Raw genomic sequence first — 21,095 nt, forward strand, 5'->3', positions numbered from 1 at the left:
CAGTTCATTCTTTCGCCGTTTGTGACCTCCCATAACAGCTGGAGTGGTCAACCAGAGATGCAACCAACTGCAGCTCCAAGATGTGTCCCCTGCCTGATAGCTGACCTCAGAATGATCAGAATGAGGCCAGACACCATTGTAAGTGGAAGCCTTCCAGTTCCATAGGAAGTACAGAACTGAGCCACATAGAGAAACACACTGGAATTGCTGGCATTAAAGACTACACAGAATGCTGGCCTCTGACTGCCCTTTCTTGGCTGTCCTGTGGAGACCAGAGACAGTCCTAATAGAAGAGGAAAAGCTGGGGTGAGGGATGTCTGCTATTCTAATGAGGCTGAAACAAGGACTTCATCTTTGGTTGTTATATAGAACCCTTATATATGTTTGTCCCTTCAGTTAACAGTAAGGTATCTCTTCTAATAAGTGATTAATTCTAATATTCTCTTCCAGTGACAGGTGATTGGAAGCTTGTCCATAGAGACGAAAGTAAACCCACATGATCTGAAGGGAAGGGGACAGGTGAGATGATACAGACTGGGGCCGAATCCTGATCAGGCCAGGAATTAGGAGAGAAGTACAATTTATTGGTTTATCTTGAAAGGGGAGTCATGGAGATTTTACTGAAGATTTTATAGAGAGATAAGGAAGAGAATTTTCACTAAACATCAGAGGCAGCACTTGCTGAATTTCTCTCAGTGTCTCTGTTCTTCCCTCTTGTAAATCTGCTGCCTCATTCCTCATCCATCTCCCTCCCCACAGCCCCACAACCTCATCTATGGGTTGTTTTTCAACACTGATTAGTCCATGAGACCTCAAGGACACAGATTCTCAGATCCTCCTCCTGTGTTGTTCAAGTCCCTCTATCTCTTGGCCTTCAGTGGAGCTCCACTTCCCATCCTAATCCACTGCCCATACCAAGGTCATATTTAGATTTACACACTGTCAGCCTCTTTCAGGGTAGAAACCTTGTCTTGTATTTCTTTACATCTCCTACAGTGCCTATCAAAAATGCTGTCTGAAATTCGCAAAATTCCTGGAGATTTTTGCGCTGAGTACCAGATAAAATCAATACGTGAAATTGCTTTGAAAACAATAAAATAAAGTAGAGCTATAGTCAGTCATGAAGTAAGAAGCCCAGAGCAATACTCACATAGATCATAAATGTTGCAACTCGGTTTCCTGACTTCATTCTGTAGAGGGGGCTGCTTGGTGACTGAGAAAAAAAAAAACAGAACATATTATTTTATGCAGATGGCACCAGAGGGACAGGCAGGATTCCACTATTAATACAAATAGAAGTAAAATGGGGGCATCAAAGATGGGATATAGTTCTGATATACACCTACTGGAGTATGTGCCCGTCTTTGCTGGCAGGTACTCAATACAATTTTTTTTTTTACTAATTTATTAGATACTTATATAAAAGAATTGTCTACTACCAAACAGAACTACTTGTCAGTAGTGAAAGTACTATATGAGGGGTTAATTGCACCTTTGAGTTCTCTGTGAAATATAGAAATTAATATATAAAATATTACAGACAATTATTCTGTAGAAATACCAAATCATAAGGCCAGAGTTCCAATTACTTGCTGAAGAGACATACTCTTTTTTTTTTGTCATGGAACAGTTTGAGATATGATTTATATTCCATAAAATTCACCCCTTGTAAGCCTACTGTTCAATGAGTTTTCCCACAATTGAAGTTTAGAACACAGAACACTTCCATCTGCTGAAAAGCTCCTTCATGCCAGTTAGGAGTCAATCCCTGCTCTCACCTCCAACCTCAGGCAACCCACTTATCTGCTTTCTCTCTATAGCATTCCATTGTGCAGATATATCAAAATTTGTTTATCCGTTCACCTGTTGACAGACATCTGGGCTGTTTCCAATTCTTGGTTTTTTTTTTGTTTTTTTTTTTTTGTTTTTGAGATGGAGTCTCACTCTGTTGCCCAGGCTGGAGTGCAGTGGCGTGATCTCAGCTCACTGCAACCTCTGCCTCCCAGGTTCATGCCATTCTCCTGCCTCAGCCTCCCAAGTAGCTGGGACTACAGGCGCCTGCCACCATGCCCAGCTAATTTTTTTTTTTTTTGTATTTTTAGTAGAGACGGGGTTTCACTGTGTTAGCCAGGATGGTCTCGATCTTCTGACCTCGTGATCCGCCTGCCTTGGCCTCCCAAAGTGCTGGGATTACAGGCATGAGCCACCGTGCCCAGCCCCAATTCTTGGTTATTACAAATAAAGCTACTATAAACTTTTCTGTACAAATGTTTGTAGAGACATATTTTCTTTTTCTTTTGGGTAATATACATAGGTGTGAAATGGCTGGATCATAAGTAGGTGAATCTTAAACTTTTTAAGAAACCATCAAACTTTTTTCCAAAGTGTCTGTATAATTTTGCATTCCCACTAGCAGTGTATGAGAGCTTCAGTTCCTCCACATCCTCACCACCACTTGGTATAATCTTATTTTATTGTAGCCATCATAAGAGAGTGCAGTGCTATCTCATTGTGGTTTTAATTTGCATTTCCCTAATGATGTTGAGCATCTTTCCATATGTTTCTTAGCCATTCATTTATCCTTTTTGGAGAGGTGCCTACTCAAATAACTTTCTGTCCATTAAAAAAAATTGAATTATCTTATTACTGAGTTATAAAAGTTCTATAGATATTTTGGATACAAGTTCTTTACCAAATATATGATTTGCAAATATTTTCTCCTAGTTGGTGGCTTGTCTTTTCCTTTTCTAATGATGTTTTTTGAAAAGCAAAGAATTTTAATTTGATAAGGTCCAATTTATCAGTTGTTTTCTTCTTTTATGGATCATACTTTGGTGTCATATCTAAGAAATCTTTGCCTAACCTGTGGTCACAAAAATTTTCTCTTATGTTTTCTTCTAGAAGTTTTATAGTTTTACATTTACATCTATGACCCATTTTGTGTTAATTTTCATATATGGTGTAAGGTAAGGGTGTAAAGTCATTATTATTTTGCAGATAGATATTAAATTGTTCCAATACTGTCTATTGAAAAGATTGTATTTTCTTCATTGAATTTCCTTGGCACCTTTGTCAAAACCAATTGATCATAAATGTGTTGGTTTGTTTCTGGACTCTGTTCTGTTCCATTGACATATGTGTCTCTCCTTACACTGGTACCACACTGCCTTGATTCCTGTAGCTCTATATTAAGTTTTGAGATCAGATAGTGTATGTCCTCCAATTTGTTCTTCTTTTTCAAAATTGTTTTGGCTGCTCTAGGTTTTTTGCATTTCCATATACATTTTAGGATCAGCATGCTAATTTCTACAAAAATAAACCTCCTGGAATTTTTATAAAGCTGGGGTTCAATTTATAGATCAATTTTGGGGAGGTCATTTTAATCCTCAAAAATCACTACTGGGTATCTACCCAAAGGAAAATAAAGTATTATATTACAGAAAAAACACCTGCACCCAGATATTTATTGCAGCACTATTCACAACAGCAAAGTCATGGAACCAACCTAAATGTCCATCGATGGTTGATTTGATAAAGAAAATAAGGTATATATACATAACAGAATACTATCCAGCCATAAAAAGAATGAAATAATTTCCTCTGCAGCAACATGGATGGAGCTGGAGGCCATTATCCTAAGTGAACTAACTCAAAAGCAGAAGATAAGATATTGCATGTCCTCACTTATAAGTGGGGGCTAAACAATGGGTACACATGGACATAAAGATGGAGGTAACAAACACTGGAAACTGCAAAATGGGGGAGGGTGAAAGGGGAGTGAGAGTTCAAAAATTACGTGTCAGGTAAAACATTCAATAGTTGGGTGATGGGTACACTAGAAGTGTGGTCCCCACCATTACACATGCAATACCCATATAACAAGTATGGCTGGGTGCAGTGGCTCACTCCTGTAATGTCAGCACTTTGGGAGACTGAGGTGGGAGGATCGCTTGAGCCCAGGAGCTCAAGACAAGCCTGGGCAACATAGCAGGACCTTGTCTCTACAAAAAAAATTTTTTTAAATTAGCCAGGTGTAGTCCTAGAGCTACTTGGGAGGCTGAGATGGGGGGATCACTTAGCCCAGGAGTTCAAGACTGCAGTGAGCTATGATGGTGCCACTACACTGCAGCCTGGGCAACAGAGCAAGATGCTGCCTATAAAGAAAAAAATAAATACATAAATAAATACGTAAATAAAAAACAAGCACATGTACCCCATGAATCTAAAATTTTAAAAAAATTATTTGCTATTATCAGCAAAGATGGCCAGTTGAGATCATGAGGCTAGAAGAGTTACTGGAGGAAGGACAATCCTCACTAGGAAGTCCCTGAGTGGAGCAGTCCGATGATTCCATGACAAGCCACATTCTTCCCTCACCAGCAAATTTTAGAAGGGAGATGGTGGCAGACAAGAAAATGAGTCAGCAACAATATGCTTGAAACTAAGGCTTTCAGATATTTCTGGAAAAAGAACCTTTGTTCTAAGATTTCACTTAGTATTCCCTGAGAGCCTACAAGAGCTCTGCCTCAGAGAAATAAATAATGCCCTGGCTCCCTACCCCAGGGGATTGGTCATTGACTCCACCATTACCGTAGCATGGTCAAAGTGAGGCTCATAGTGTCCTCCGATGCCATAGTTCACCACCTGCAGATACTCTGCATAGGGAGGCCGGACATCAAGGCCTGTGAGGGCAGCAATGCGGTGGTTGAGGGTCACCAGTTTTGGGTCAACAGTGTCCTTCAGCCAGGCACTAAAACACACCACAGATTGAAGCATCAATGATCTGTTGCCCGAAATGACTAAATGACGTCTCTGAATGAATGAATAAACAAATGAATTATGTTAATTGCCAGAAGGAAGGATGGAAGGAAGGAGGAAAGAGAGGGAGGGAAGACAGACATAAATGCCTAATTACCTATGCATTCCTCATGTTAAGTCTGCCCAGTCCACTTTGTTCTCTACCTCAACAAACTCACAGCATTGAGATACAAAGAGGAATAAGACAAAACCCCTGCCTTCAAAGCTGCTATGGTGTAGAGACATCTGAACAGAGGGACCCGGGTACAGTGGGAAAAGCTTGTGATTTAGAGAAATGTGACGAGTCCCTGATCCTCTGTGATCCTAAGTCAAGTATTTAACCATTAACCTCTCTAAGGGTCAGTGTGTTGTCTATAAAATTGGGATGATAATAATATCTACTTCACAGACTTATAAAGATTGTGAGAGGCAATGCTTATGAAGACACTTTGTGAACTATACATTAGTGTTACTTTTAAACACAGGAAAATCTCTGCTCTACTGCAAGACAAGCCAGGATAGGGCAAAGGCCAAACAGCAGAGTTCAGTCTCTTTTCCTGAATGTCTTGTTGAGGTTCTGACAAAGTGGCAACTTTGGAATCAGAATTTACGTCCCTGGGAAGTGAGAAAGTGCTCCCTAAAGCCAGTGGGTCTCCTGGGGAGACGATAAGGCTCTGAGGGAACAGCCTTGGCATGATATGGAAGACCATTTCTTTGCTCTTTGCTTTTGATGGATTAGTGTGTTCATTCTTTCAAATAGAGTGCAAGCAGAGTGCTATGCCACATGCTCTTAGGTTACAGAGATCCCCAAGACAGAGCTATTGCCTTCTAAGAGCTCATGGATTATGGGGGAAAGGACAAACACAAATATAACTAAGAACAAAGTAAGGTACAGTGAAAAATTGAGAAACAGACTTTAAAGTGCTGGGAAGCACAGAGGAAGGAGAAGTTCATTCCAGTGGGGCACTCAGGTAAGATAGTGACATTTAAGCCAAATTTTGAAGAGTGCATAAAATTTCAATAGATGGAAAAGATGTAGGAGTATTCCAGCCTGAAGAAACAGCATAAGCACAGACATGGAGGTGTGGCAATAAATTATGAATAAGGAGATAGGAAGAAGTAACGGGAGATACAGCTGGAGAAGCAGGCTCAGGGCATGACATAGAAAACTGAAAACACTGTGATATGGAATCTGGACTTTATGGATAATGGGTACTCAGTGAAGGTGTGTGAGCAGGAAAATGATTTGGCAATTAGAAGTTCCCTGGTGACCTTTGGGAGACCAGCTCCAGCGAAGTTGTGAGGACAGAACCAAAAGTCAAAGAGTTGAAGAGTGATGCAAGTGGAGAAAGAAAGTAGTTTCTTGTTCGGAAAAGGGAAGAAAATACCACCTGCTCCCCTGGAAGCAATTAACCCAAGGCTGAATTTTCTCTCTGACACTAGAATATCAGAAAGGTTAGAAAAAGCAATGAGGCTGAGGTCATAGGGACCTTCCATAGGTTAGAGAATAACTACTAATATGAAAGGCCCTTAATGTACCAGACCAAGTAAGTTAAGCCAAATGATTCTGAATCACAGCTTTCATCACTCACCTCCCTTCCCAGACAGCACAAACTGATCTCCATCCTGAGGTCTGGCCTCCCCCCAAGGATGCTGACGTCACTGTCTCACATGTCTTTGGTGGATGTAAGTAAAGGGCTGCAGTGGGGGGTGGGCAGGGCTGGAGGGGTGGGATAAAGCTGGGCTCTCACAGCTGAATCTGCTCCTCTACAGAAGCCATCAGGGCCAGAGTCTATTTGTCCTTCTGGTCTCATTCTTGGCAAGTCATGCTTTCAATATGAGTCAGGAGGTGGGAATGGAATCTTGTAAAGTTAAATTACAAATGTGGACAGGACTGTATCTTCTGGAAAAGCAATCCTGTTTAGGAGAACAACTATAGACATATTTTTTGGTTTAGGGCAGAGGAGCTCTTCCAAGTCTCTCTCGAATGGCCTTCTAGTTAAACCCTCAGATGATCTAACAACCTGGGAAAGGGGAGTGGAAACTTCACCCTCTTAAAAAGAATGTACAGCTATAAACGTGAACTAGGGATTCTCCACCTCTGGAGGTCCCTGAATGGCTGTTGCTGACTGGCAGTCAGCTATGCTACGGCCCGAGGGTGGGCAGCAGGTATGACCAAGGAAGGGCCCTTCTTACCTTTTGCTGATGCGGTACTCCACTTGTAACTGCTTCTCCCCTGATGCCACCACTGACCTCTGTAGCTGGTGGGAAGAATGTAAGACAAAGTCCAAGTGGTTATGATGCAAAAGGAAAGTTTTGTCACTTCCACAGACATATTTCTCTCTTAAGCATCAACATAACAGATGCCAGTTCCTCCTTAATTAGAGGACATTTTGCATGTGGGACTAATTTAGTGACAGCTATCAATCCTGAAAATAAAAGATCATAAGTGACCAAAGATCGTAGAGTTGAAAATAACCTTTAACACTGTGTCTAGTCGACAGTAAGCACTCAATAAAAGTTTGCTGAGTTGAATTTAACTGTTATTTGAATCCCTTTTGTATCTGTAAGACTGTGAGTTAGGTAAGAACAGGGGCTATTTCTCATTCGTCTTTGTTTCCCAGGGTCAGGCACAGGGCCTGACCTATGGTAAGCACTTCGTAAGTGTTTGTCGAATTAAATGAACACCTCCAGCAACAGGAAACTCTCTACACTCAGAGGCAGCCTGCTCCTTTTGAATATTCTAATGAAAGCCTTTCCTTACAGAGAATCAGAGTCTGTTTTTGCTACAACCACTTTTTTAAAAAATTGATATATAATAGTTACAGATGTTGAGGGTACTTGTGAGATTTTCATAGCTGCAACTGCCTTGATTATGAAAAGACAACAACAGTTTTGATAACACTAGTTTAACTAAATGCCTCTCTTTTGTTCTGAATGTCTAGGTATAGCATTTAAATTATTATTATTATTATCTTTAGAGACAGGGTCTTGCTCTGTTGCCCAGGCTGGAGTGCACTAGTACGATCATAGCTCACTACAGCCTCCAACTCCTAGACTCAAGCAATCCTCCCACCTCAGCCTCCCAAATAGCTGGGACCATAGGCACATGCCACCAAACCTGGCTAATTTAAAAAAAAAATGTTTTTGTAGATACGGGGTCTTGTTTTGTTGCCCAGGCTGGTCTTGAACTTCTGGTCTCAAGGGATCCTCCCACCTCGGCCTCCCAAAGTGCTGGGATTACAGGAATGAGCCACCATACCGGGCCTAAATTATTTTTAAATAAAGTGTCTCCTAATTGCAAAATCCAGGGACAGAAAGAGAAATATTATTTATTTATATGAGGGTAAACATGTCTACTTCTGCCTCTGTCATCAGAATGTCAGCTCATGAGGGCAAGGACTTGGCCTTTTTTCAGTGCTGTATCCCCAGGGTCCATTCAACACCTGGTGGTGGAGTAGGTGCTTAGTACTGGTTAAATAAACAAATGAATGAAATAGGGCACTGCCCTTAAAGGTACTCACAGGGCTCAGACCCAGCTCTGGTGCTTCACAGGCAGGCAGAGCAGTGCCTGGGGCAATGAGCTACACAGACAGAAGCTCTTTCCCTTCTCTGAAGCTTCCATAATGTCATTGTCCCTCCTGCTAAACCAGATAGACAGTCTTGGAAAAGCCTCTTCCTTTCCTTGGGCCTGTTTCCCCATCTAAATTCTGCACAGCAAAAGAAACTACCATCAGAGTGAACAGGCAACCTACAAAATGGGAGAAAATTTTTGCAACCTACTCATCTGACAAAGGGCTAATATCCAGAATCTACAATGAACTCAAACAAATTTACAAGAAAAAAACAACCCCATCAAAAAGTGGGCGAAGGACATGAACAGACACTTCTCAAAAGAAGACATTTATGCAGCCAAAAAACACATGAAAAAATGCTCACCATTACTGGCCATCAGAGAAATGCAAATCAAAACCACAATGAGTTACCATCTCACACCAGTTAGAATGGCAATCATTAAAAAGTCAGGAAACAACAGGTGCTGGAGAGGATGTGGAGAAATAGGAACACTTTTACACTGTTGGTGGGACTGTAAACTAGTTCAACCATTGTGGAAGTCAGTGTGGCAATTCCTCAGGGATCTAGAACTAGAAATACCATTTGACCCAGCCATCCCATTACTGGGTATATACCCAAAGGACTACAAATCATGCTGCTATAAAGACACATGCACACGTATGTTTATTGCGGCATTATTCACAATAGCAAAGACTTGGAACCAACCTAAATGTCCAACAATGATAGACTGGATTAAGAAAATGTGGCACATATACACCATGGAATACTATGCAGCCATAAAAAATGATGAGTTCATGTCCTTTGTAGGGACATGGATGAAATTGGAAATCATCATTCTCAGTAAGCTATCACAAGAACAAAAAACCAAACACCACATATTCTCACTCATAGGTGGGAATTGAACAATGAGATCACATGGACACAGGAAGGGGAACATCATACTCTGGGGACTGTTGTGGGGTGGAGGGAGGTGGGAGGGATAGCATTGGGAGATATACCTAATGCTAGATGACGAGTTAGTGGGTGCAGCGCACCAGCATGGCACATGTATACGTATGTAACTAACCTGCACAATGTGCACATGTACCCTAAAACTTAAAGTATAATAATAATAATAATAATAATAATAATAAAAGTTTGGGACAAAAAAATAAAAAATAAATAAAATGCAGCTTATGAACAACATGTGCTTGCGAGTTCCTCTCACATGTGGCTCTACAATCTTAGGAAGCAGGAAATCAGAAGGGGATTGATGTTGCCTCCATCCATTGTCCCTGGTGTCCTGTCCTGAGCCATTTGTAGAGGAGAAACTCATAGAAGAGAGATGCTCCCTTCTGTTCTTTTAGGGCAAAATCAATGGTTTAAAAAAAAAAAACAAAAAAAAACCCTAAGGAATCCCCCCCATCCCAAATTAAGGAGTCACCTTATATTTATTTCCTGTAACAATCATTAATTGTCTACCTACCAGTCACTCGTTTTTTGGAACAAATATTTATTGGTTGTTCTCTGTGCTAAGCACTGTGCTAGGCACTGGAAAAACAATGTTAATCCAGACAATGTCCCTGCCCCTAAGACATCTAATGGGGCCATAATAGGCAAGTATAGAATGCCATGGCAATAGAAAGAGGGACACATAGCCCATTCTTATGAGGGACAGGGAGTCTTTCCAGGATGTCCACAAGACACACTGGAATCATACAGGTGAGAAGTCAAGGGCAGTTCGTTCCAGGCAGACAGAAGAGTGTGCAGCTGGAGCGTCAAGTGCCGGGGGAGATGTGGTAGAAGGGGTTGGCAGCAGCCAGGCCATGGAGACTTGTAAGCACTCAAAGGCAAAAGTGACCCAGTGAAGAGTTTCAGCAAGGGCTTGAGTGGTCAGACCTGACCTTTTAAAGATTTACTCTGGCAGCAATGGGAAGAACATGGGGCAAGGCATTTGCAGAAAGATGATGCCTGCTAGTTTACAGTCTGACTGGGGAGACAGGATGCTGACCCAGGAAACTGTCAGTGATGTCAAACAACACATAAATGGCAGAATACATTTAAAAATTAAGTACCAAACAACCAGTGAGAAAAAGCTTAGAGTTCAGAGGAGGAATAGGTAATTGTATATGGCTCCAAAAAGTGCTCTGAAAAAGAACCAAAGGAGGCCAGAATGATCAGGGCTAGCGGGCCCAGCGAAGGTGCAGGGCTTCAACTGAGTCTTCAAAGATGGGCAGGATGTGGTGAGAGAGAGAAGTGATGAGTGAGTGTGCTTTGGGAAAGGGACAGTGACTAGGAAGCAGAGATATTCAACACAAGCCACTGAGGCATCTGTCTTCAGTTCCCATGGGGAAGCCACTACCATGTCAGTCCAGGGCTGATTCCTGGGAGAGCCACAGACCAGACAGGCATCAGCAGCCCCAGAGAGACACTTCTAGGGGAAGGAAGTGTGCCAAGATCTGTGCATGCTAAATGGACGACATGGCCATGAACATTTAAATCAACGTCTCTGGGTGGGTCACTTCTCCCGTTACCATGGCAACAGGGCTGTTATAAGGAAAAAGCAGCTGCTGGCCAAAAGCTACTACTGCTGGCTCACTGCAAAGCTGAACCTGTTTGCTCCAATTCACCAGTGGGGCTTAATTATCTCAAAAAGCTTCTGTGCAAAGATTCTAGACTTTCCTGGAGGGGCTTTTAGATGAAATGATGATTGCCCCTCTTCTCCCTCCAATCCATGTCTGCTGTTACAGTCTTCCTTAAAAATCAGACATGATCATGCAACTCTCCCATTAAAACTGTCCAACAGCTCTCCTGCTGCCTACAGGATAAAATCCAAACTCCCCGGCATGGCATTTATAGCATCTGCTAATGGTGTCTCACATCTAGCTTCATTTCCTATCACCTCTCGCCCCCATCCCTTGCACACTTCAGCCACCAAGCTTCTGCCCAGTCTCTGAACATACCACATATCAGGCCCTTGCACATACTGTTTTGTCTTTCTGGAATACCCTTTGCTACCTTCTTTCTCTGATAGATGTCACCTCCACAGTGAAGCCTTCCCTGATTCTTCCTCCCTTCCCCATCTCTTCTTCACCCAATTGCCTTTTCTTTAGAGGAAGCCTTGCTTTTTTATGTGCATAGCACAACTCTCTGCCCACACCTCTATGATAGCATGTATCATAGTGTAGTGTAAATATTTGTTTTTCTCCATTGTGCACTAAGTTTCCAAGAGGAAAGAACCAATACTTCATCTCACTGTAAAAGCCCAGCACCCAGGCCAGTGTCTGGCACACAGTGGGCTCTATTCTGTTGACGAATGACTAATGGCTGCCTGGATGAACTGCACATGTTAAGGGCACAATGTCTGGCTTGACAGAAATAATTCTGAGACAATATCTTTAAAGAGGCAACATGCTTATAGAGGTGCATTTTTTCTTGTTAATATTTAGCACACTTCCTAGGGGGAGGATTAAATGTCCTCTTCCCATTGACATCCAGCTTGGCTTGGTGACTTGCAGTGCTTTCCCTGTGGAAGAATTAGAACCTTGCTGTTAACTGCAGTAGTGCCCACATGCTTTGCTCTGACCAGTGAAACATGGGTGGAAGTAACATCTGGCACTTCCATGCAGAAGCTTTATGAACCAGCTCATGTTTGCCATTTGTCTTTTTCCTCTTCCATGAGACTGGCAATGTCCCATACAGAGGCTGCTCTGTCAGGCTGGGTCTCCAAGTGAAGACAGTGGGATGGCTTCAATCAAAATTTAATCTAATCATGATTGTAATTTAATTTAATCATGATTGTAATTTAATTATAATCATAATTACATTATAACTAAATTTTTCCTTAAAACAGCCCTGTTGCCATGGTAATGGGAGAAGTGACCCACCCAGAGATGTCTATTTAGTCATTCATGGCCGTGTCGTCCATTTGGCATGCACAGACCTTGGCACACTTCCTTCCCCTAGAAGCATCTCTCTGGGGCTGCTGATGCCTGTCTGGTTTGTGGCTCTCCCAGGAATCAGCCCTGGGCTCACATGGTAGTGGCTCCCCCATGGAAACTGAAGACAGATGCCTCAGTGGCTTGTGTTGAATATCTGCTTCCTAGTCACTGTCCCTTTCCCAAAGCACACTCACTCAACACTTCTCGCCACATTCTGCCCATCTTTGGAGACTCAGTTGAAGCCCTGCACCTTCGTTGGGCCCGCTAGCCCTGATCATTCTGGCCTCCTTTGGTTCTTTTTATAACGAAATTATAATAATGATTGTAACTGAATTACAAAGTTTAATTTATAATTATATGTTATAATTTATAATTCATAAATGAGGCACAGAGATTAACAATAAAATATAATAATAATAATATACTGTAATAAAATTATGGGAAAATGACCTCTCTCTCTCAAAATATCTTATTGTACTACACTGAGAATAACTGAAACCACAGAAAGTAAAATTGCAAATAAGGGGGACTACTGTACCTCTAAGTTCTAGCTGTGGCTCTAGCTACATGTATGAGCTTAACAAGTCCCTTCCCCTCTCTGGGCCTCGGTTTCCTTTTTAACAAAATAATGAAGTTTAGCTTTCTACTCTAACTCTGTAAATTTGTGCTAGGATTTTACTCCTTGCCGCTGTCATTTCACCCTTTTCCCCACCTCTACCAATTACATAGAATGGTTGACACTTTTGAAGTGTTCTTTTTTATTTGTCTTTTTTTAGGTTAAACTTACATACAATGATATACACAGGTCTCAAGTGGACCATTTGGTGAGTTTTGACAAATGCATACAGCCACATGTACCACGTCCCTAACAAGATATTGAGAGCACATTTTCAATACCCCAGAGAATCCTCTTGTACATCATCCAGTTAATCCTTTCCCTCTAGAGGCAAGCACTATTGTGATTTTTTTCCACCATGGACTAGTTTTATGGAATGGTTGGCATTCTGAACTCCTTGGCTCTTTGAGGTGTCTAGTTGTTCAGGTTGCCTATTCTTACACTCCTGAACTCCAGGCATGTGAAGATGAAAGAGAAATTCTTGGCGGGTTCTCAGGACACTCACCCATGGTTCTGCAAGTTCTCTAATTTTCTGAGCCTCTGAGTCACTGACGAAGTCATGGTAGAGAGCAATGTAGGGCTCCAGGTGGATGACCTCCTTCCGGATGGGCTGGAGCAGCAGGTAGGCGTTGGAATTGGTCTCATAGGAACAGTAGAGGCTAGGGATCTGGTAGAGAGTGGGCTGGAAGGAAAGAATAGGATGAGCATAAGAGAAGAAGGGTCTAGGAGCAAAACTCAACTTAGGGGAACTATGGCATAAAAAAATTGGAATGCAAGAGATACAGAATGTGGTCACTCTGATGCTGCCCAAGTGAGCTTTATTGTTTTTAATGCATCAGCTCTATCCCCTCATGTTATCCCAATTCTAGCTTCTCAAACTCTAGCCAGGCCTCTCCCCCTTTCTCTTTCCCTGAGGAATCCTACCTGGGAACCCAGGGTCTGACATAGCCCCTCGTAGGTGTCTCTGGTCTGCAGGTGGGGTATATTGGGCCTCTGGATGACAGCCTCAGCTACCACGTGGTTGGGGCTCTCTGCCAAGAGCCTTTCATATTTCAAGACATTCCTGGCCATCCTCTTATTATCTGGGCCTGGAAGAAATCAGAGCAGGGAATATAAAATAGGGATTAACAAATACTGGCCCCAGGGAGTGCCACCAAGGTTTCCTCCAGCTTCACTGCTGCACAGGATGGGCAAGTGGATCTCCTGAATAACTCCTCATGTCAACACACAGGAGGATGCAAGGCCCTCACTCCCAGAAGACTACCTGGTATTTTTTTAAAAGACTGACTTGATCCTGGTAGATCTGAAGGTGCAAAGGGTTTTGGGAAGCAAAGTGGAACTTAAAACTCTTAGGCCAAGGGATCATGAAGATGGCTGCTCTGGGATACTGTGATGGTATATATGGCGAAGATGAAGCCTCATTCATTCATTCATTCTTTCACCCATCCATTCAGTAAATCTTCAGTGAACATCTACTATGTACCAGATACTGTGCTACAGGTTGACCTCTCAGAGTTTAGAGTCTAATGGAGAAAAAGGACATTAAATTATCACTTACAACAAAATATGATAAGTGCAATGAAAGAGAAGTCCAGAAAGCCAAAGCCTATTGCAAAAGGACCCAACCTATTCTTCCCCAGAGAATTGGAAGCTAATTCATTCTTGGCTCCACTAGATCTTTCAAATCTCCTAACTGGCCTAGACCCAGAGCAAAGAAGTATGGCGCAGAGGGACTCTAGACTTTGGCTCTAGACTGGATTCCCACAGGGCCCTTGGGAAACCCAATAAATCTTGTGTCTTGTTTGTGCCCACCTGTTTGTACCCACTTTGGCTGCAAGATGCCCCATGCATTGGCAGAGCTACCCGTGGCCTGCTGGCCTCTTTGCATGACTCTCAATGCATCTCAGAAGGAGATGCTGAATTGTTCTAATGCTCCCAAAGCATCTTTCTCTGAGGAGCCCAGTGTGCTTCTAACCACAACCATCACCCTGGCAAAGGAGGAAAGGAAGGGGCAGAAATTACCATTCTGTTTTAACAAGAGAAGAAGTGAAGTTTTGGAGAATGGAAATTATAAGCCCAAACCCCAGTGAAAATATTGCAAAGCCGGAAATAAAACTGGGAATCTCAACTTGCCATGTTCTATTATCCACCTATAAAAGCACAAAATTTGAGTGGATAGCAAAGATTTTAATAGATCAAGTGCAAATAAATAAAGAAGGGTTGGATTATAATTTTGTTTGTACCACTAATTACTCATGTGTTTGTAGATACACAGCTACTTCCTTATCCTATTGTTTGCTAATTATCAGAAGGGAATAATGTTACTAAATGGATTCATTAAAAAGTTTTGTATACATGCAATTATAAAGTCCTACATGAAATACTTTATAAATATTAAAACAAAATAGTGATTTTGTATCTCATTGTAGTATCTAAATACTAAATACTCATGCCTGTAATCCCAGCATTTTGGGAGGCTGAGGCAGGTGGAACACTTGAGGCCAGGAGTTTGAGACCAGCCTGGCCAACATGGCAGAACCCCATCTCTGCTAAAAATATAAAAATTAGCTGGGCATGGTGGCACATGGCTGTAATCCCAGCTACTTGGGAGCTGAGGAACAAGAATCACTTGAACCTGGGAGGCAGAGGCTATAGTGAGCCAAGATTATGCCATTGCACTCCAGCCTGGGTGACAGAATGAGACTCTGTCTCAAAAAACAAAACCAACAAACAAACAAAAAAACCACACCCCTAAAAGCAAAAGCAAAACAAAACAAATAAATACTGTATTAAAGAAAAACCTAGGAAGCTATCTACCACTAAAATGTTAAGCAAATACATACATATAACTTTGAGGCAAACATTTCCAAGCAGATACCTGAGTTAGGAAGCATCTCCCTCCTGTTTAACTCATTTTATTGTCAGCAAGAGACTCCCTGAAGGGGGGTGATGCTGAATTCTGTGACCTACTGGCTGGGCAGGATGCATGCATCACAGAGTGAGACCTGATTTAAGGGGAAAAACTGATATCTCCCTGTGAGCAGCTGAAGTGAGCAATCCTGCTGAGTCACTTTCCTTCTTGCGTACATAGTGCACACTGATTTCATTCATTCTTGGGTCTGCTTCCAAAATCTGGGTCTTTAAAATGTCTCTGAAGAAACTGGCTCCCACTCCTGGACTTTTTCCCATTGAAGCAACACTAATATATCATTGATTGGTTGGAAGAAGGAAGGGACAGGTTGATATCTTCTCAGCATTTTCCAACTAACTTAAAAATTTCCCCCTGATGCATTGAACAGCATGTAAGATTTCACCAAAATTTGAAATGTGACCTGGATTATGAAATTAAGATAATAAAGATAGGGCCAGGCACAGTGGCTCATGCCTGTAATCCTAGCACATTGGGAGCCCGAGGTTGGGGGACCACTTGAGGTTAGGAGTTTGAGACCAGCCTGGCCAACGTGGTGAAACCCAGTCTCTACTAAAAATACAAAAATTAGCCAGGTGTGGTGGTGGGCGCCTGTAATCCCAGCTACTCGGGAGGCTGAGGCAGGAGAATCACTTGAACCCAGGAGGCAGAGGTTGCAGTGAGCAGAGATCGCGCCACTGCACTCCAGCCTGGGTGACAGAGGGAGATGCCATCTCAAAAAAAAAAAAAAAAAAGATAATAAAGATAGATAGCTGTATTTCTCTTGCAGGAATTAAAGGCCAGGAGCAGAAGGGAGTTCCCCGTAAATCAGACCTGTGGCTGGCTTATCTTTTATCCATTACGTACTGTAGAGAAGAAACTCCCGAGAGAGGCTGAGGGCACACGAAACATTTCCTGCCTGTTAAAAAAAAAAAAAAGAAAAGAAAGCATTAACTTCACTGAGGATATCTCTTCTGAACAAACCATTAAATTAAAAAAAAAAAAAGATAAAATATTCTTACCATAAGTAGATAATAAGGCTCACTGAAAGGAACAGCAGACCAGAAATGCAGAGGATCTGTGGCCTCACTGCAAATCAGGTCTCACCAGTCTCCTCATTTACTAATGACTTATGACCACCCTTACCGGGCAAGGTAGGAAAATAAATGAAAATAAACCTTCTTAAAGTGCCCTCAAATCTTTTTTTGTTTTCTGTTGAATTGTTTTTTCTTTTAATTTTATTATTATTATACTTTAAGTTTTAGGGTACATGTGCACAACGTGCAGGTTTGTTACATATGTATACATGTGCCATGTTGGTGTGCTGCACCCATTAACTCGTCATTTAGCATTAGGTATATCTCCTAAAGCTATCCCTCCCCCCTCCCCCCACCCCACAACAGTCCCTGGTGTGTGATGTTCCCCTTCCTGTGTCCATGTGTTCTCATTGTTCAATTCCCACCTATGAGTGAGAACATGGGGTGTTTGGTTTTTTGTCCTTGAGATATTTTTCTGAGAATGACGGTTTCCAGTTTCATCCATGTCCCTACAAAGGACATGAACTCATCATTTTTTATGGCTGCATAGTATTCCCTGGTGTATGTGCCATATTTTATTAATCCAGTCTATCGTTGTTGGACATTTAGGTTGGTTCCAAGTCTTTGCTATTGTGAATAGTGCTGCTATAAACATACATGTGCATGTGTCTTTATAGCAGCATGATTTATAATCCTTTGGGTGTATACCCAGTAATGGGATTGCTGGGTCAAATGGTATTTCTAGTTCTAGATCCTTGAGGAATCGCCACACTGTCTTCCACAATGGTTGAACTAGTTTACAGTCCCACCAACAGTGTAAAAGTGTTCCTATTTCTCCACATCCTCTCCAGCACCTGTTGTTTCCTGACTTTTTAATGATCGCCATTCTAACTGGTGTGAGATGGTATCTCATTGTGGTTTTGATTTGCATTTCTCTGATGGCCAGTGACGATGAGCATTTTTTCATGTGTTTTTTGGCTGCATAAATGTCTTCTTTTGAGAAGTGTCTGTTCATATCCTTTGCCCACTTTTTGATGGGGTTGTTTGTCTTTTCCTTGTAAATTTGTTTGAGTTCATTGTAGATTCTGGATATTAGCCCTTTGTCAGATGAGTAGGTTGCGAAAATTTTCTCCCATTTTGTAGGTTGCCTGTTCACTCTGATGGTAGTTTCTTTTGCTGTGCAGAAGCTCTTTAGTTTAATTAGATCCCATTTGTCAATTTTGTCTTTTGTTGCCATTGCTTTTGGTGTTTTAGACATTAAGTCCTTGCCCATGCCTATGTCCTGAATGGTATTGCCTAGGTTTTCTTCTAGGGTTTTTACGGTTTTAGGTCTAACATTTAAGTCTTTAATCCATCTTGAATTAATTTTTGTATAAGGTGTAAGGAAGGGATCCAGTTTCAGCTTTCTACATATGGCTAGCCAGTTTTCCCAGCACCATTTATTAAATAGGGAATCATTTCCCCATTGCTTGTTTTAGTCAGGTTTGTGAAAGATCAGATAGTTGTAGATATGCGGCATTATTTCTGAGAGCTCTGTTCTGTTCCATTGGTCTATATCTCTGTTTTGGTACCAGTAACAGGCTGTTTTGGTTACCGTAGCCTTGTAGTATAGTTTGAAGTCAGGTAGTGTGATGCCTCCAGCTTTGTTCTTTTGGCTTAGGATTGACTTGGCGATGCGGGCTCTTTTTTGATTCCATATGAATTTTAAAGTAGTTTTTTCCAATTCTGTGAAGAAAGTCATTGGTAGCTTGATGCAGATGGCATTGAATCTATAAATTACTTTGGGCAGTATGGCCATTTTCACGATATTGATTCTTCCTACCCATGAGCATGGAATGTTCTTCCATTTGTTTGTATCCTCTTTTATTTCCTTGAGCAGTGGTTTGTAGTTCTCCTTGAAGAGGTCCTTCCCATCCCTTGTAAGTTGGATTCCTAGGTATTTTATTCTCTTTGAAGCAATTGTGAATGGGAGTTCACCCATGATTTGGCTCTCTGTTTGTCTGTTATTGGTGTATAAGAATGCTTGTGATTTCTGTACACTGATTTTGTATCCTGAGACTTTGCTGAAGTTGCTTATCAGCTTGAGGAGATTTTAGGCTGAGACGATGGGGTTTTCTAGATATACAATCATGTCATCTGCAAACAGGGACAATTTGACTTCCTCTTTTCCTAATTGAATACCCTTTATTTCCTTCTCCTGCCTGATTGCCCTGGCCAGAACTTCCAACACTATGTTGAATAGGAGTAGTGAGAGAGGGCATCCCTGTCTTGTACCCGTTTTCAAAGGGAATGCTTCCAGTTTTTGCCCATTCAGTATGATATTGGCTGTGGATTTGTCATAGACAGCTCTTATTATTTTGAGATACGTCCATCAATACCTAATTTATTGAGAGTTTTTAGCATGAAGGGTTGTTGAATTTTGTCAAAGGACTTTTCTGCATCTATTGAGATAATCATGTGGTTTTTGTCTTTGGTTCTTTTTATATGTTGGATTACATTTACTGATTTGCATATGTTGAATCAGCCTTGCATCCCAGGGATGAAGCCCACTTGGTCATGGTGGATAAGCTTTTTGATGTGCTGCTGGATTCGGTTTGCCAGTATTTTATTGAGGATTTTTGCATCAATGTTCATCAAGGATATTGGTCTAAAATTCTCTTTTTTGGTTGTGTCTCTGCCGGGCTTTGGTATCAGGATGATGCTGGCCTCATAAAATGAGTTAGGGAGGATTCCCTCTTTTTCTATTGATTGGAATAGTTTCAGAAGGAATGGTACCAGCTCCTCTTTGTACCTCTGGTAGAATTCGGCTGTGAATCCATCTGGTCCTGGACTTTTTTTGGTTGGTAAGCTATTGATTATTGCCTCAATTTCAGAGCCTGTTATTGGTCTATTCAGAGATTCAACTTCTTCCTGGTTTAGTCTTGGGAGGATGTATGTGTCAAGGAATTTATCCATTTCCTCTAGATTTGATAGTTTATTTGCGTAGAGGTGTTTATAGTATTCTCTGATGGTAGTTTGTATTTCTGTGGGATCGGTGGTGATATCCCCTTTATCATTTTTTATTGTGTCTATTTGATTCTTCTCTCTTTTCTTCTTTATTATTCTTGCTAGCGGTCTATCAATTTTGTTGATCTTTTCAAAAAACCAGCTCCTGGATTCATTAATTTTTTGAAGGGTTTTTTGTGTCTCTATTTCCTTCAATTCTGCTCTGATCTTAGTTATTTCTTGCCTTCTGCTAGCTTTTGAATGTGTTTGCTGTTGCTTCTCTAGTTCTTTTAATTGTGATGTTAGGGTGTCAATTTTAGATCTTTCCTGCTTTCTCTTGTGGGCATTTAGTGCTATACATTTCCCTCTACACACTGCTTTGAAGCTGTCCCAGAGATTCTGGTATGTTGTGTCTTTGTTCTCGTTGGTTTCAAAGAACATCTTTATTTCTGCCTTCATTTCATTATTTACCCAGTAGTCATTCAGGAGCAGGTTGTTCAGTTTCCATGTAGTTGAGCGGTTTTGAGTGAGTTTCTTAATCCTGAGTTCTAGTTTGACTGCACTGTGGTCTGACAGACAGTTTGTTATAATTTCTGTTCTTTTACATTTGCTGAGGAGTGCTTTACTTCCAACTATGTGGTCAATTTTGGAGTAGGTATGGTGTGGTGCTGAAAAGAATGTATATTCTGTTGATTTGGGGTGCAGAGTTCTGTAGATGTCTATTAGGTCCACTTGGTGCACAGCTGAGTTCAATTCCTGTGTATCCTTGTTAACTTTCTGTCTCATTGATCTGTCTAATGTTGACAGTGGGGTGTTAAAGTCTCCCATTATTATTGTGTGGGAGTCTAAGTCTCTTTGTAGGTCACTCAGGACTTGCTTTATGAATCTGGGTGCTCCTGTATTGGGTGCATATATATTTAGGATAGTTAGCTCTTCTTGTTGAATTGATCCCTTTACCATTATGTAATGGCCTTCTTTGTCTCTTTTGATCTTTGTTGGTTTAAAGTCTGTTTTATCCGAGACTAGGATTGCAACCCCTGCCTTTTTTTGTTTTCCATTTGCTTGGTAGATCTTCCTCCATCCCTTTATTTTGAGCCTATGTGTGTCTCTGCACATGAGATGAGTTTCCTGAATACAGCACACTGATGGGTCATGACTCTTTATCCAATTTGCCAGTCTGTGTCTTTTAATTGGAGCATTTAGCCCATTTACATTTAAGGTTAATATTGTTATGTGTGAATGTGATCCTGTCATTA

General features: G+C 41.4%; 1 protein-coding gene across 8 annotated transcripts in view; it reads right to left on the reverse strand.

Moving 5' to 3' along the window:
- The window catches only part of P4HA3 (prolyl 4-hydroxylase subunit alpha 3), a 61,495-nt gene that overhangs the window by 22,249 nt on the left and 18,151 nt on the right, over nt 1-21,095 (reverse strand). For 6 of the 8 annotated variants that reach the window (XR_007062475.1, XR_001747837.2, XR_001747838.2 and 3 more), the window contains 6 exons: nt 16,685-16,736; nt 13,834-13,997; nt 13,415-13,591; nt 6,994-7,058; nt 4,591-4,750; nt 1,151-1,213 (listed from right to left, as the gene is read on the reverse strand). Coding sequence is in view for 3 of the 8 variants with exons in the window: in NM_001288748.2 (NP_001275677.1) it covers nt 1,151-1,213; nt 4,591-4,750; nt 6,994-7,058; nt 13,415-13,591; nt 13,834-13,997; nt 16,685-16,736 (681 nt within the window). In the remaining 5 variants the exon portion in view is untranslated. The remainder of the gene's footprint in view (nt 1-1,150; nt 1,214-4,590; nt 4,751-6,993; nt 7,059-13,414; nt 13,592-13,833; nt 13,998-16,684; nt 16,737-21,095) is intronic. The other 2 variants (NR_110031.2, XM_047426802.1) reach the window with 1 other exon arrangement.

This window comes from Homo sapiens, chromosome 11 (assembly GCF_000001405.40).
Source record: "Homo sapiens chromosome 11, GRCh38.p14 Primary Assembly".
Lineage (NCBI taxonomy): Eukaryota > Metazoa > Chordata > Mammalia > Primates > Hominidae > Homo > Homo sapiens.